Here is a 17,157-nt window from a genome sequence, read left to right as displayed (position 1 = left end):
GGGACGGGCTTTCGGCCGCACCCCTTCACTCTTTCCCCGCCTTCTTTGTTTATTCCGGACCCACCATTGGCTGCTTGCCCTCGATACCGGGCGAGCCGCCGGTCTTTGGAGAGAGGCGATTGGACGAAGTCCCTGCCGCTCGGCCAGCAGCCCGCTCGCGATTGGTTGAGGCGCCGCCGGGGGTTTGAATCGCATCCCCGGCCGGGGAGGGTTCTGCCAAAGTGCCACGTTGGGCCCGGCGGCGGCGTGAAGACTGGCGGCTGCGTGAGACTCCGGCTCCAGGCGTTCGCACCGTAATGCCCGGCCGTTGGGGCCGTCGGTAGGCGCGAGGCGAGTCGAGGCAGCCGGCCGGTCGGCGGCCGCCGGCGGGAACGGGGCTGAGGCGGCGCAGCGGAGTCTGGGCGGCGGCGCGTCCCGCCCGAGGGCGGCTCTGGCTGAGGGCGGAGGGGCCGGGGAAGAGCCCGGGGCAGCGGCTGAGGCGGGACGGCGGCGGGGGCCGCTGCCCCTAGAAGACCCAGCCGAGATGCTGGCGGAAAACCTGGTAGAGGAGTTTGAGATGAAGGAGGACGAGCCGTGGTACGACCACCAGGACCTCCAGCAAGGTGAGGGCGGGGGCGCCCCGCGGGCGGGCGGCGGCCTGGCCCGGGAGGCCCCCGCTGCGAAACTGTTAAAAAGTTGCTTTTTGTGGCGGCGGAGGATGCAGGTGCCGGGAAGGGCTCAGGCTCACCTGGCGGCTGGGCCGGCCGTGCCCGCGGATCCCGCCCGCAGGAAGCCTCGGCACGGGGCCCACGGCCTTGCTAATGCGCAGTTGAATATCAGCCCCGAGGCGCGTGGGGGCCAGGGACGAGCCAGGCACCGTTTTAAGCGCTTTCCGTGGATTAGCTAGTTTAATCCTCACTGCATTCCTCCGAGGCAGACCCGGGTGAGCCAGTGTGTCCCGCAGTAAGTGGCATAGCCCGAGAAGCCGCCCCGTCGCAGGCTGTCTAGCCCAGCGCCTTTCATGGCCAGCGTGGAGGGCCGGCTGCTGCAGGTGGTAGTTGTTTTGCGGCGTAGCGGGAGCTGTGCGCTCCGCACCGTAACTCCAGGAGACAGTAACTTTTTAAAAATTAATGTTTGAGGGTACATGGTAGGTGTATATATTTGTGGGGTACATGAGATGTTTGGATACAGGCACGCAGTGTGAAATAAGCACGTGATGGAGAACGGGGCGTCCATCCCAGCATTTATCCATTGAGGTACAAACAATCCAATTACACACTTTTGTTATCCCATTTTCCATATGAGGAAAGCGGAGATTAAAACGGTAAAGTGGCTTGCCTAAAGCTAAGTGTGGGAGGGAGTGTTTTTTGAACCCACACACTCAGAAGAAGAGTTGTAGTCACTGCTCAAACCCCATCTCTTCCTTACCATCCTAGTTTACAGTTTTTTTCAGTTGGGCGTTAAGCTGTTAGGCATAGTTCACCAGATGCCAATTGAAACGACAGAAGAAAGAGCGCATCTATCTCTGCCACTTTTCTTCAGTTTGCACGCCAGCTTTCACTTAGAAACAGGCCTGCCGATGGTGTCTCCAGAGAACAATCGTAGAGTAGCCCACTCTTTGGGGCCAGTGGGGCCCCTGTTTTTCTTATACTAATAGCAGGAGCTAGCAGTTGGGGAACACTTTTTATGTGCCTAACACTGATAGGCCCATAACACAGTTGCTCATTTAATTCTCCCAGTAACACAATAGAGGTAGTAATGTTGGGGAGTGCTAGGGTTCTCCTTAAGACTCCAGAGCAAACGTTCTTAACCGCTATACTGAGTACTGAACAATCCTCAGGAATTTTTCCAGGCATCTTCAGTTTCTGCAATTCTGTGTAAATGCTCTCAGCTCTAATCTTGCAATGAAAATTAACATCTCATTTAGTTGAATATTAAATGATCATGTTGCTTGTTCATGCTAACCACTGAACATGGCAGAAGAAAAGAATGTAGACCTGAATAACTCAGAAAAGGAAAATAAAATGAGCACCTCTTTTGGAGGAAGATAATTTCTTAAATTAACATGCAATCACTTTAACCAAAGTAATTCACCTTTATTACACTTACAGAGTCCAAGCTACTTAGTGGTTGCAGTGCAGTGTTTGGCACCATCTTCTTTATGTCCAAGAGACAAATTTATTATACATATTAACAAACCTGTTTTCAGATTTCCCCGTAAGGATTGATGGCCTAGTTTGATAGTTTCTCCAGGATTTGTGAGGCAACCACTGTACCACTGCAGTACTTCCCTATAATTTAATTTGTATCATCACAACTAAATATTTCTCTTTCCTGTATTTAAGAAGCATTAATCTTTAAGGGCATAGAGGGGGCAGGTTCTTTTTTCTTGTGTTTCCAGCATCTAGCATAATACTTGGCACATACTGGAAGCTCGATTTTAATATTTGTTGAACTGCACTGAAGCACTCGCACAGAATTGTTTTCATGGCTCTCTTCCATCAGGTGCCTTAGTCCACGCTGCATTCTCCCGCTGTGGGAGGTTGTTAGGAACAACAGCTGTAACACTTCAATCTACCGAGCAGCAAGTGCAACGTGTCAGGGTTACACGAGGAATTCTCTTTAACCTCTGATCAAAATAAAGTCATCAGCTCTTCAAGTTTAACCTTAAAAACACAGGTCTGGGCTGGGCGCAGTGACTCATGCCTGTAATCCTAGCACTTTGGGAGGCCGAGGCGGGCATATAACCTGAGGCCAGGAATTCGAGACCAGCCTGGCCAACATGGTGAAACTCCATCTCCACTAAAAATACAAAATTAGGTGGGTGTGGTGGCAGGCCCCTGTAATCCCAGCTACTCGGGAGGCTGAGGCAGGAGAATTGCTTGAAACTGGGAGGCGGAGTTGCAGTGAGCTGAGATCGTGCTATTGCACTCCAGCCTGGATGACAAGAACGAAACTCCCTCTCAAAACACACACACACACACACACACACACACACACACACATATCTGAACCTCTTTACTGCCAGTTGCATTTCTGTGTTTTTCAAAGGGCTGTTACGTTATCACAGTGGACTTTGACTTAACCCTCTGTGTCATAACCAACTATATGGAGTACGAGTAGAAGATGTGAAATTCCAACAATTGTAACTTGTGAATATGGCCTGTCAAAGAATAAAGGCTACAGTGTGAATAAAAGGGTATCCTTTCCCCAGTTTTGCTAAGTTATATGTTAACTCCTAAACTTTTAACAGATTTTAAAACTTGTTCATTTCTCAAAAATGTATTATCTGCTCTTTGCCAGGTATTCGCCTGGGCCCTGGGGCCACAGCACCTCCCCACATGAGTGGATAGGTAGGATTCCTACTCCCATAGAGTGAATGTTCCAGGAATCTGTTCACTAGAGAAGCCTGGAGGTGCCGCCTCATGGGATGTGCCCACTACAGCGCCTCGTACATTGTAGGCCCTCAGTAGACACTTGCTGCTGAATTAAGTTTGGGAGCAGGTCTGTCCTGTTAAACAGATTATTCAGCAAGTCTAGTGGGATTTTATGTGCAGGCATCTGTCCGTTTTTTAACATCCTCATTATTATTACTGAGCAAGGCTTATTTGGAGAGAACTGCTTAAAACTTTTTTTTTTTTTTTGAGGTGGAGTCTCGCTCTGTCCCCAGGCTGGAGTGCAGTGGCACGCTCTTGGCTCACTGCAATCTCCGCCTCCCGCGTTCAAGCCATTTTCCTGCCTCAGCCTCCCAAGTAGCTGGGATTACAGACACGTGCCACCACACCCAGCTAATTTTTGTATTTTTAGTAGAGACGGGGTTTCCCCATGTTAGCCAGGATGGTCTCAATCTCCTGACCTCGTGATTTACCCGCCTCGGCCTCCCAAAGTGCTGGGATTACAGGCGTGAACCACCGCACCTGGCTGGAAAACAACTTTTAATGATCCTGTTCTCAGTATCTTACAACTATAGAATGTTTTCCTTTAGCAGTAGTAAGCCATGCTCTGAATAGATTGAATCTTTGTATCAAAGTTTCCTAGGGTATCCGTTTTTAAATTGAAATTGCTGGAAATTTCTAACCTCAGTAAACTCTGGTCTACTATTCATACCTTGTTAGAAACATGTAAAGCTTTTGTGTAGGCAGGAGGAGAAAACCCTTTGCTGTTACAAAACTCTTTGATGAAGAGACTGTCTTTTGTCAGAGAGCTGAGTTGGCTCAGTAGGAATACTGACAATAATCTCTGTGGGTAAGATCTTTTCTGGGACAGCAGGAGCCTTCAGTGCAGGTAATGATGGTGCTTGCTTTGAAACATGCCCCTGAGAACAAGGTGGAAAGACTTCAGAGACTGGATTTTCTTTTAAACCAGCTGCTATTGTCATTTGGTGAGCTGTGCAAACTTAGAATAAGGATTCAGGTTTCTGTTATGTGGATCAGTAAATGAACTCTTAGTTTAAAGGAATCCTAAAATTGCAGGATGAGTACATCCTCCTTGTGTACAACTATTTTGCTGAATCACTGTTTGGAGGGTTATTAAAACTGACAACATCATTTTTCTTGATATTTATATTCAGGTTTTCTGCTTTCCCAATTATAGTAACATTGGCAACAGGAGTTAAACAGAAGCATCACTAAATGACGCATTTGACTTTGTAATAGGAAAAACTTTCAGCCTTACTGTTAGTGAATTACTCCTACAGACTACAGCTGCCAGTACTAATTTTTTGCCTAAAGCATAGAGCTGAGTATCTGTTTAAAGCTAACAGTTTACACCATTAAAAATATATTATTACCTGCAAAGACTCATTAGTGAAAGAATATTCAACATATGAAGGTATTGATATGTTGAAATTCTCAAGCCTGCAATAAATCTACAGTATTTTTAGTAGTTGCCTAAACCAGGCCAGTTCAATAGGATTTAGAGAAGACCCTCTTAATGAAAATTCATTTTGTAATCCTGTAGAGATGAACAGGTGTATAAGGCTTCGAAACTATATTATTTCCTTTTCTTTTGTGCCTTAATTAAAACTATAAGGGACATTCAATATTCTATTCCCTCCACTAATTATTTAGAAAACTTTCTTGGGCTTACTGCCAGCTTTTGGCCTCTTTTGGTTATGGAAGCCAGCTGCTACTCAACAGGAAATGAACTTTTTTTAAAGACAAAGTCCGGTGTCTTTAAGCTAACAGATGAAGTAATATCCTGTTATACAGTGTGACTTCACAGGAGCTTTCTTGTAGTTGGGACTTGTTAAAATTCTATCCTTAACAGCCTATAAATATTTAGGAGATCGAGACTTCAGGTTTCTGAGCCAGGCTGGTGCTTTGTTTTACTGGAAATAAGGTTTGAGATAAGGACAAGTCTCAAATTCTTTTTTGTTTGCTATCTACTAAAGAGTGCTGTCCTTGGTATCTCTTTCTGCAGGAGCAGGGAAGAGGTTCCTGGCTACTCTTAAGTAGCACAGGTAGTTCCATAACTGAATGAAAGTGGTGATAGTCTCAAGACAGTCTGGATTCTGGGAGAGGTTTCAGCCCAGTTGGGTTTTGTTTTTTTTCTTTTTTTTTTTTTTCCTGCTAAGAGACAAGGTCTTGCTATGTTGCCCATGCTGGTCTCGAACTCTTGGCCTCAAACAGTCCTCCTGCCTTGGCGTCCCAAAGTGCTGAGATTACAGGTGTGAGCCACCACACCCGGTCCTTGGCTCAGGCTTTGATTGCTGGTTAAGAGCATCTTTGGTGAATCTGAGCCTTCCCAGTGAGGAATTACCACTTCACACATTTAAGAAGGAAAGACTTAAGTAATACCTAGGTAATGTTTTTATACTTTGTCTTTAATACAGTGTGGTAGCTTCCATATGGGTCTATGTATACACATTACACACTCTGTGAGTACAAAATCATTTTTTCTGGAACATGTTGAGCCATACATAGTTCCTTTTTCATTTGGTGAAAACAGGGTATTAACTTGCCTGGGGTTGTATGTGCTTTCACTAGCAGAGCAGGCAATAAAAACCCAAATAGTTGAACTCTAATTTCTCATTGCAATCTGTGAAAACAAGTAGAAGAAATTAAGTACCTCAACAAGGGGAACATTTGTATTCTCTACCTTAAAGAAGCCTGCGGACCTCTCTTTCAATTGCCTTAAAACTCTGCAGATGAAGATAACAAAGAATCGTGATGAGAGTGAGAGTGAGAACCTGTTGACCTAAGAGTTTCTGTTTGATCTGTGACTCACCTTGGAGCTTGATTAGGTCAATTAACAGTTTTGTGCTTCAGGCTGTCTCATCTGAGAAACTGGACTAAATACCTTTAAAGATATAAAGACTAATGTCTCTAGAAAACAAAAAGTAGGCTGGGGGCAGTGGCTCATGCCTATAATCCCCAGCACTTGGGGAGGCCGCGGTGGGCGGATCACTTGAGGTCAGGATTTCGAGACCAGCCTGGCCAGCATAGTGAAACCCCATCTCTACTAACAATACAAAAATTAGCCAGGTGTGGTGGTGGGTGCCTGTAATCCCAGCTACTCAGGAGGCTGAGGCAGGAGAATCACTTGAATCCAGGAGGCAGAGGTTGCAGTGAGCCGAGATCGCACCACTGCCCTCCAGCCTGGGTGACAAGAGTGAGAGACTCCATCTCAAAAAAAATAAATAAATAATGACAAGAAAAAGACTAATGTCTCTTAAATGCTTTGAGCTATTTGTAAAAGTTCTGTGTTTTGTAAATACAAGTTATTTCATAGATTTAATGGAAGTCTTTATTTTTTATTTTTTTATTTTTGAGACAGGGCCTCACTGTATTTTTGGTAGAGATGTAATTTCACCATGTTGCCCTGGCTGGTCTCGAACTTCTGAGCTCAAGCAGTCCATCTGGTTCACCCTCCCAAAATGCTGGGATTATAGGCATGACCCACTGCACCTGGCCTCTAAAGTCTTAATGAATGTAATGACTAATAGACATTGTTAGTTTTGAAATCACAAGAGAATGTATTTTAGCACCTATCTACCAACAGTATACTGTTTTATTTTAAATGGGTGTAAAATGTTTTTAAATGATCTGGAGTTGGGTGTGGTAGGTTTTGCTGCTTTTTCCAGAGTGAAAACTAACCAAGTAGAATACTAATTATGCACTTGAGTGGACATTACAACAACTAATGCTGTTGTTACCATTTACTCAATGCTAAGTTTTACTATGAGTAGTGGTGGATAGCCATTAAGCCTTATTTGTCAACCTCTAAAAATTAAGTTTAAAAATCATTATGTAGTGAGTTTCCTTGTTTTTATGATAAATTTTTTTCATAATACTTTTATGACAATAACTGAGGCTACTTTCCATCATACCTAGAATAAAATTTAAACTTTACCTACCATGGGCTATAAAATCCTATATGATCTGATCCCTCATGCTTCTATCATACTGGCTGCTTGTCAGGTTGTAGAATATGCCAAATTCATGGCAAGTTCTTCATCCTTCAAGCTTCAGCTAAAAGGTCTTGTCAGACCTTCCTTATGACCTCCCTTTCTAAATTGGGCCCTAGGCTGGGCACAGTGGCTCATGCCTGTAATCCCAACATTTTGGGAGGCTGATGTGGGAGGATGTGTTGAGGCCAGAAGTTTGAGATCATCCTGGGCAGCATTGTAAGACCCTGTCTCTACAATAAATCAGTAAGTAAGTAAGCTGGGTTTGGTAGTGCATGCCTGTAGTCCCAGCTGTTTGGCAGGCTGAGGCAGGAAGATCACTTGAGCCCAGGAATCCAAGGCTACAGTCAGCCATGAGTGCACCACTGCACTCCAGCATGGCAACAGAGCGAGACCGTGCCTAATAAAGAGACAGAAAAAGAAAGCCCTTTGTTCATTATCACCAAATCCAGGTTTTTCTCCCCCGCTTTATCTTTTAGACTTTATATTGAATTGGTCAACAAATCCTTTAGCTTTACTTTCAAAACATGTCAGAATTCTGCCCCTCCTCTCCCATCTTCATCTCTGCCACCCTGGTCCAAGCCACCATCATCTCTCACCCAGACGATTGCAGTATCTTTCTGTCACTCTGCTCCCACCTTTGTCCCATTCACCCTGTATAACAGCAGCCGGAGTGATCCTGTTAAACCTCCATTGGATTCCTTCATTTGGAGTAAAGGCCAAACTCTTGACCTCTTTAGTTAGGCCCTCCGCAAACTGGCCATCTTGGAGCCCCTCTGATTTGAGTCTTCCCCCTCCCCTCCCTGCCCAATACATTCTGCTCCACCCTCCTCAGCCTCCTTAATGACTCAGTCATGCTTCCTCCCAGGTGCTTTGCACTTGCCTTGCCTCTGCCTGGAGTGCTGTTTCCCTGATGGATACACATGGGTCACTTATTCTGTTCCTTCACACATTGATTCTAATGTGGCCCTGGTCACATGTTCTTAAATTTCAGCCTCCCACATCCACACTCCTCCTGTACTTCTTCCTTGCTTTATTTTTTTCTCTTTAGCATTTATCGCTATCAAGTTTTATTGTGCTGTTTCTCCCAGTAGAATATAAGCTCCATGAGGGCAGGGATATTTTTTTAATGTGAGTTCCTTATGGCTCCTGGGCACCATCCCAGTGCCTAGAATAGTGTCTGATATTATTGAGTATATGCATGCATGCATGAATACTGTTTATCACAGTATGTGAGTTTAGTTACTCATTTGTCTGGCTTCCTCCACTAATCTGGGAATGTCAGCAAAGCAGGACTTCATTTTATTCACTGTTCTATAGCTAATGCTTAGCATAGTGCCTGGCAACAAAAACATTCATTTGTGAATCAATGACTATTAATAGTACTTTGCGTGCGTATTGCAACTTAGTTTGTAAAGTACTCCTTTATGTATTATTTCATTTGATTTTCACAATCTTATATTGATAAGACAGTCATCTCTCTAAACAAGAATACTAACTATAGGGGCCTTAAAGTCACCATATTGAAAGTGTTCTGGTAAATGATAGAACTGGGCCTGAGACTTACCTGCCCAGAGTGCAGTGCATTTCCCACTGTATCAAAGGACTGCTCCATAAGATTTACTATGCAAAGAAGTATTTCAATGACGTATGTTACAACTAGTGTCCTTTCTTATATTGTTAACTAAATTTTCATTTCTGGGAGTTGAGTATAATATAAACAAATCCTGTTTTATGGGCATTATACCTAAGAATAGAGAGAGTTGAAAAATGAGGTTTAAAATAAAATATGGTTCTGTGCTAAATGGAAGTATGAGCTACTGACATGTAATTACCTCAAAAACCACATTTCTGTTTTGCTTTTCTAGTTGCTCATCTTACAGAAGGACACGAAGAGAAGTAGAGTGACCTGGGGCAGTGTTCTTAATGCTGATGTATTTTTCCTTTTCTTGACTTAATAAATTTTAGTCCCCTTAGGAGTCCAGGATATATGACAATAAACTTTAACAGTTGTATTCACAGCAGGCAAATTCATGGGAACTTTAAAGATTTTTGAAAGCTCCACCTATACCTTGGCTCAAGGGTCCATTCAAAAAAGTAGACTGTCAGGATATGAATACATTCATTGTACTAGCAAATAGGATTTTAGAAGTAACACTGCGGAATGATCATTCCTGAACAAATAACTGCATCTCCATAAAGTAGATGACCATTTTTCACTTCTTACAAGTATGGGTACATAAGAGAATACATTACCTGCTGGAGGCGTCAGTTTAACTGAATTTTAAGTAGAACTCGGGTTTCCTTCTGTGCCACTCCACCTTCCATTGGGATGTGACTTAAACTACATGTTCTTTTTTGAAGGACTGGGTTATATAAATTGTTGATGTGAGATCATTTGTATTATTCTAAGATTCATTTGTTGTGCTAGATCTTCAACTTGCTGCTGAGCTTGGGAAGACATTACTGGATCGGAACACAGAGTTGGAGGACTCTGTTCAGCAGATGTATACAACCAATCAGGAGCAGTTACAGGAAATTGAGGTAATTCACTTGGCAGGAGAGTTACACTTTTGACACTTCGATGTGTTGCTGTTATGCCAATCACATACTGGTAAAAAAGCACTTGCAATTAGATGCAGCATTTTATTTTTTAACACAAACTTTTTTGAGAATGAGAACCGCCTCCCGAGTAGCTGGGATTACAGGCGCCTGCCACCACGCCTGGCTAATTTTTGTATTTTTGGTAGAGATGGGGTTTCACTGTGTTAGCCAGGCTGGTCTCGAACTCCTGTCCTCAGATGATCCACCTGCCTTGGCCTCCCAAAGTGCTGGGATTACAGGCATGGGCCACCACACCCGGCCTAAAACATGCAATATTTAAGATATACAGAATGGGGTAAGAGAACAATACAGTGAATACCCATATATCCACCACCTAGCTTAAAAAAGAAGACTGCCCACACTCTTGAACTTCCCACCGGAGAGGGAACTTATACCTCCTCCTTGGTGACATATCCCTCCCACCTACTACCAAACCATATCCTAAATTTGAAAAAAAAAAATCATAGTTCCTGATTTCACAGTGTGTTCAGATGTTTTGCTCCATTCAAATAATCATAAAATACATGTTGCTTTCTCTCTGCTGTGATCTTGATTTGTTTACATTTTTGCTGGATATTTTATTAAAATGCTACATTTTTGGCTGAGTGTGGTGGCTTATGCCTATAATCTCAGCACTTTAGGATGCCGAGGGAGACAGATTGCCCAAGCTCAGGAATTCGAGACCAGCCTGGGCAACGTGGTAAAACCCCATCTCTACAAAAAAAAATACAAAAATTAGGCTGGTGTGGTGGCGTGTGCCTGTAGTCCCAGCTTACTTGGGAGACAGAGGTGGAAGAATCACCTGAACCTGGGAAGTCAAGGCTACAGTGAGCCAAGACCGTGCCACTGTACTCCAGGTTAGGTGATGGGAGCGAGACCTTGTCTCAATAAAAAAATAATAATAATATAATACCTTTTGCCCAGCTTAACAAACTAAAATGAAAGATGCTAGACTAGGGCATTAAAATGGCCCTCTATGCTGCTAATCTTATAAATAGTCCCCTTCAAGTAGTTCAGTTATGTGTAGGCCACTTGACTGTAAAGATAATCACGGATATTAACCAGTGTCCCATCAGAACACCTTTCTCCATGTCCCAACCCATGCTTCCCCCAAAAAGGGTCTGTACTTAAATTATAAGCTCCTCCCCCTTAAATTGGTACAGTAGACCCAGGACTTTTGTGTCTGTGCACAGAAAAATGTAAAAGACTCTAGAACAGTGAAGCAGTTCATCATAATGAGTACTTACTAAAGCTTTGATTATTTCCTGAACCAGGTGCTGGGAATTCAAACAAGCGGAGAATTACACAGTCCTTCCTTAGAAGTGATCACATCATACAGTTTTAAACTTTTGAATACAAATCTATCATCAAAACAAAGGCAAATGTGCAATCTCAGTATCCATTAATTTTACCTAGTAACATAAAAGGTGTATACAGTAGACCCTCCCCTTGAGCAGGATTTCTGAAATACACTTTTATAATTCTAGGAAAGTATGGCTTGCAATGATATTGAAGTCACCAGGTACCATTTTTAGCATATTCTACATCAAAAGAGCGTACAATATGTTTTACACTAAATTGAATTTAATGACCTACTGTAGGCCGGGCGCGATGGCTCAAGCCTGTAATCCCAGCACTTTGGGAGGCAGAGGCAGGCAGATCACTTGAGGTCAGGAGTTCGAGACCAGTCTGGCCAATGTGGTGAAACTTTGTCTGTACTAAAAATACAAAAAATATGGCAAGCACCCATAATCCCAGCTACTTGGGACACTGAGGCAGGAGAATCACTTGAACCCGGGAGGTGAAGGTTGCAGTGAGCTGAGATTGTGCAGTTGCACTCCAGCCTAGGCAACAGAGCAAGACTCCATCTCAAAAAAAAAAAAAAAAGACCTACTGTAGAGTTTGCCAGAAACCTAAAATGCAGAGAAACTAGGCATTTAAAAACTATTAAACTAGGCTAGGCATGGTGGCTAACGCCTATAATCCCAGCACTTTGGGAGGCCGAAGTGGAAGAATTGCTTGAGGCTAGGGTTTGAGACCAGACTGGGCCACAAAGTGAGACCGTGTCTCTAGTCTAAAAACAAAACTATTAAACTAGCCAAATGTTTTACGTGGTCAAGGAACTCTTTCCTACTTTGTTTCGTAGACTTTGTTTTTTAACTCAGTGGGAGATTTCAGAATAGTCCTAAACGATCATCACTGTTTGTATTTGTGTAGAGACATAGTCTTAATTGTATTATCGTAGTCTATGAGGTTTATCCGAGGCCTGATTATTGCTAATAGTTAATAAATTGTATTGATGTTTCCTGTTAGAGCATTTATAAAACACTATAACTGGTACTTATTTTAGCATATCTTTCAAGTGTAGCTGAAAGAAGTGTAAATATTTGTAAGTTGGGAGAATGATGCCTATTGATTAGCATAGGAGATTACAAACAACTGCTTTGTTTTCTGTGGTATCGAGGATGATTAAACATTTAAGCTAGATCATTGGTATTCTGAAAGTATCCAAAGATATCTGAGATTCTCTAAATCTACAAATAACACTTTATTATCTAATATTATCCATAAGATATTGCAAAGCGTCATGGAAATGAAATAATCCAGTTCAGACCTTCATGATTAAATAGGTATAAAATTCAGCCGGGTGCGGTGGCTCACGCCTGTAATCCTAGCACTTTGGTAGGCCAAGGCGGGTGGATCACGAGGTCAGGAAATCGAGACCATCCTGGCTAACGTGGTGAAACCCCGTCTCTAGTAAAAACACAAAAAATTAGCCGGGCGTGGTGGCGGGCGCCTGTAGTCCCAGCTACTTGGGAGGCTGAGGCAGGAGATTGGCGTGAACCCGGGAGGCGGAGCTTGCAGTGAGCCGAGATCGTGCCACTGCACTCCAGCCTGGGTGACAGAGCGAGACTCCATCTCAAAAAAAAAAAAAAAAAAAAAAGTATAAAATTCATGTATAAAACTATTCAGGAGATTTAGCTTGGAATATTTCGGGAAACATATTCATGAGTCTCTTGTTCCTGTAATATGTAGTCCACTGGTTCCTAGATCTGAGCATTGCACAATGCAGTATTTTACTCTTTATCCAAAGCTGTTTTTGGCTAAGAATAATTACTCTCTTAGGTTTCTTCACCACCATTACAGTTGACTTTCTTTTTTCTTTCCTTTTATAAGTTGCTTCATGAAAGTAAGTTTCCAGTCTCAGTAGGGGAGATGAGATGGCAGTAATGGCTAAGCCCACTTACCAGCCAGGGGATTCCCACAGACTGTCCTTGCTGCCTGCTCCATCACAACTGTGCCTGGGCAGATGTAGAGATCACGATGTAGATTTCTGAGGTCTCTCTAATAGCCTAAAAGAATGCCATGTGCTCTTGTAAAAGTAACCAGGCAGCTAAAGAGCCTACTTCCTTGCTAAACAATGACCCTTGCATATGTTCCTCTTATTGCAACCTTCAGGAGGCCCCCTAAACTTTATAAGGGCCCTCTCCTTAATTTGAGCCTTTTCAACGTGTTTCTCCTTCCCTTAAACTTTTTATTGAAATCTACATTACAGAAAAGGGCATAAATCCTAAGTGTATAGTTTGATGAATTTTCATAAAGTAAACATGCCCATGCAACCTATTCCTAGATAAGGAGTTGAGAGCATTATCAGCTCATCTGGTCACCACCCGGTGAGCTAGCATCCTAAGTTTAGCTTGTTTTTGACCTTTACGTGAATGGAATCACTTGTACAAGTTTTAAAGTAACTGTTTAGAATGTTTATTGGGAATTAGATTACAAAGTAATACACAGCTTGGCGCAGTGGCTCACGCCTGTAATCCTAGCACTTTGGGAGGCTGAGGCGGATGGATCACTGAGGTCAGGAGTTCGAGACCAGCCTGGCCAACATGGCGAAACCCTGTCTCTACTAAAAATACAAAAAGTAGCTGGGCATGGTGGTGCATCCCTGTAATCCCAGCTACTCGGGAGGCTGAGGCAGGAGAATCCCTTGAACCTGCAGGGCGGAGGTCACAGTGAGCCGAGATCCTGCCACTTCACTCCAGTCTGGGCGAAAGAGTGAAACTCCGTCTCAAAAAAAAAAAAAAAAAAAAAAAAAAAAGATCATTTTTTTAATTCAGAAAAATATATAGTTGAAGAACAAAAAGTCAGCTCCTATCCCACCACCAGTGAAATTTAAAATGAGACAGTCCAGAAGAATGGTCTGGGAACAAACTCATCTGAGCGAATGAAAAATAGTGCAGAGAACTGGTGAAAATACTAGGACAAGATCCCTAAGATTCTGACTTATTATGGAAATAGACAACTTGGACACTGCCAAAGGGTATTTTGTAAGTAGAACCACAAATATTCTTTCAAAGACTCTTGGAGGGTTTCAAACAATCCTCCTAAAAATTGATCAGTATTTTTGGTAGGCATCATTTTTAATGTAAAAACGAAAAAAACAAAAATTTCCTTTTATGTGAAAACGAAAAAAGATTAAACTATTCAAAATAATGGTTAAACTGGCTTCAGAGAAGCCTGTAGCCTGTCTTACTTTTTTTCAGTGCTAATTTGAAAAACTTAGATAATTTTTTAAGAATCCAGAGCAAGTTTTTTCTGTTCTGGGTGGAAGGAGGGGAGGAGAGAACTCTTACTTGGGAGAGTAATGAGATCAGACACCATTGGATTCATTTACACTTTGCTACAACCGTGTAAGCAGCCTACAGCCTTGTGTTTTGGTTACTTCCCTGCTTAGACACCTGCATTATCCCCTACAGGAGTTGTGCCTAGCACTCAAAGTAGTCTGGCCTTCAAGGCATCCCTTCTTTCAAGAGTTCATGCCCTCTTTGGAAATGGAAAAATATTTTGTGCTGCTTTTACTGCATGTATCAATATTCTACTGCATATGATACTTAATTGATTTGCTTTATTTTCCTTTCCCCTTATTTCCCATTGCAACAGTGAGCACTGTTGTGTTTATTCATGGTCTTTCACACATACTAGGTAATCAATACTTTGTTGAAATCAGTATTTTAACAGAGGAGAAACAGCTTACAAAGCTCTTCTAATAACTCCTAAACTTTGGGTTTCCACCTCTGGAGATTTTTAAGGCAGGCAGAAGGGGCTCTGGCCTCTGTTTTAGGAGATTCAGGTTTAAACCCTCAATTTTAATTGCAAATAGCTAGAGAATTTAGACATATGAATTACCCCTCAGATTCTCTTTGCTCCGTTATGGAATGGTGATAATGCTTACACTGCTTTGGTGTAGGAGTTTTCTGAGGGGATGAGATTATGGAGGCATATATATTTTGAACAGTATAAATTGTTACTTTGGTATAGGATTTTTCTGAGGGGATGAGATTATGGAAGCATATATATTTTGAACGGTATAAATCGTTGCATAGTTTACCAATGTTTTAAGAATTTTAGTAGTGAGCCGGTGGCGGTGGCTCACTCCTGTAATCCCAGCACTTTGGGAGGCTGAGGCAGGTAGATCACGAGGTCAGGAGTTCAAGATAAGCCTGGCCAAGATGGCGAAACCCCATCTCTGCTAAAAATAGAAAAATTAGCTGGGCGTGGTGGCGGGCGCCTGTAATCCCAGCTACTCAGGAGGCTGAGGCAGAGAATTGCTTGAACCCGGGAGGTGGAGGTTGCAGTGAGCCAAGATTGCGCCACTGCAGTCCAGCCTGAGCAAAAAAGCGAGACTCCGTCTCAAAAAAAAAAAGAATTTTAGTAGTGAAAAAAGTCTTTAAAAATTTGTATGGATATATAACAGCTTTACATATATCTGGGGCGCCTGTGACGTTTTGATACAAGCATACAATGTGTAATGATGAAATCTAAACTGAGATAACCATGACCTCCAACATTTATCATTTCTTTGTGTTGGGAATATTGCGTATCTTTTCTAGCTATTTTGAAGTATACAATAAGATATTGTTAACTATAGTCATGAAAGAACTTAAATTCTGAAAAAATAAATCTTCCAGAATTACTGGAAATAGACTTTAAAAACAATCTAATCCCACAATTTTAATAATGGGATTATAGGTGGTTTCTATTTTCATGTTCATGCCTCCCGCCACCAAATTTCTACAGGGGAAATATATTTCATCAGGGGAAAGAGATTTTTCAAAAGTAATAGGAAATATTTCTTTATTATTGTGGAAGTTCATTTTGATAGTAAATTCAGAGGATTTAGGCTGTAATCCTTAATTTCAGGATAATCCCAACACTGCTTACAAGCCAGATTTCCACTCCATTTCTATGCATTTTTACTTGGGGTCGTTTGTTTCTATCTTTCCCTGCGTTCCAGGTTAGGATTCCACAATTGCAAATAGGTATTTATGTAATTCTGCTGGCCTTTGTTTTTTAAAGATTTACCTTAATTGTAAAGGTGGCCTGTTTGTAGCTTTTGTGCATAACTGGAACCTTGTACTCATAGTTGAGGTGACAGTCTGTGCAAATTCCTAGACAGTGAGATAAACCCAAGGCATTTTGCTATAAGTTGACATTTTTGCCCACATTTCTGCTACCCCATGACCCCCTTCCCCCACTGTTTTGCTTTAAATGTCTCCCTTTCCTGTTTACTATGGCAGTCAGATTCATTGGAGGCTGTGTATCAAAGAGAAAACCAGCATGTCAGCAGCATGTCTGTACCTTGAGATGAGAGGTAGGAAATAAGCTAACCCATTTCCTTCTAGATTCAGAAAAAAAATGAAGCACTGACTCCATAGACCTAGATGTCTGGCCTTACATCAGTACGTACTTAGAGAGCTCATCATTTTTCTTTAAGTTGCTGACTGGTTTTGTCAGACTCTTCTGTAGGTCCCCTATAACTGAATCTTGGAGAAGTGAAGGGCTTTTCTGATTAATTTTGGTTTTATATAATAAGATTAAGCTCCTACCATGTGAAAACAAGCTCCTTGACATTCTTTAGATTGTTGTTAAAGCCAAGTCATCTAAAACCAAAATATCACAAGTTCTTAAATGGTTTCATTATGTTGTTATCACAGGTATCACAGGTTTTTATATATCAAACAAGGAACTTTCTATAGTTTCTTAAATGGCCTGTTTGTACTTATTTGCATATTGACTTGTTTCCTGTATGTTGGCCACAACTCTAACTTGAACATCCTATCTGTAAGAGAACAACAACTTGAGACCCATCTGGTATCTGGTAG

The 17,157-nt window shown here is 42.2% G+C and overlaps 1 protein-coding gene across 2 annotated transcripts in view, besides 2 other annotated features; it reads left to right on the top strand.

Annotated features, from left to right (window-relative positions):
- Window positions 214-17,157, top strand: part of CDR2 (cerebellar degeneration related protein 2) — a 28,684-nt gene continuing 11,740 nt past the window's right edge. Inside the window, exons 1-2 of one of the 2 annotated variants that reach the window (NM_001802.2) lie at window positions 214-602; window positions 9,819-9,931. In NM_001802.2, coding sequence (NP_001793.1) covers window positions 524-602; window positions 9,819-9,931 — 192 coding nt within the window. In that variant the 5' untranslated portion in view covers window positions 214-523. The remainder of the gene's footprint in view (window positions 603-9,818; window positions 9,932-17,157) is intronic. The other variant, XM_024450143.2, reaches the window with a different exon arrangement.
- Window positions 452-681: a silencer, noted in NCBI's record as "silent region_7269". NCBI's record gives its function as "represses an Ori minimal core promoter by ATAC-STARR-seq in GM12878 lymphoblastoid cells {active_cell/tissue: GM12878}" and the evidence as "EXISTENCE:reporter gene assay evidence [ECO:0000049][PMID:35858748]".
- Window positions 16,543-16,612: a silencer, noted in NCBI's record as "silent region_7268". NCBI's record gives its function as "represses an Ori minimal core promoter by ATAC-STARR-seq in GM12878 lymphoblastoid cells {active_cell/tissue: GM12878}" and the evidence as "EXISTENCE:reporter gene assay evidence [ECO:0000049][PMID:35858748]".

Source organism: Homo sapiens, chromosome 16 (assembly GCF_000001405.40).
Source record: "Homo sapiens chromosome 16, GRCh38.p14 Primary Assembly".
In the NCBI taxonomy this organism is placed as follows: Eukaryota; Metazoa; Chordata; class Mammalia; order Primates; family Hominidae; genus Homo; species Homo sapiens.
Note: the sequence above shows the minus strand (reverse complement) of the source record. Positions and strands in the feature narration are given on the sequence as shown.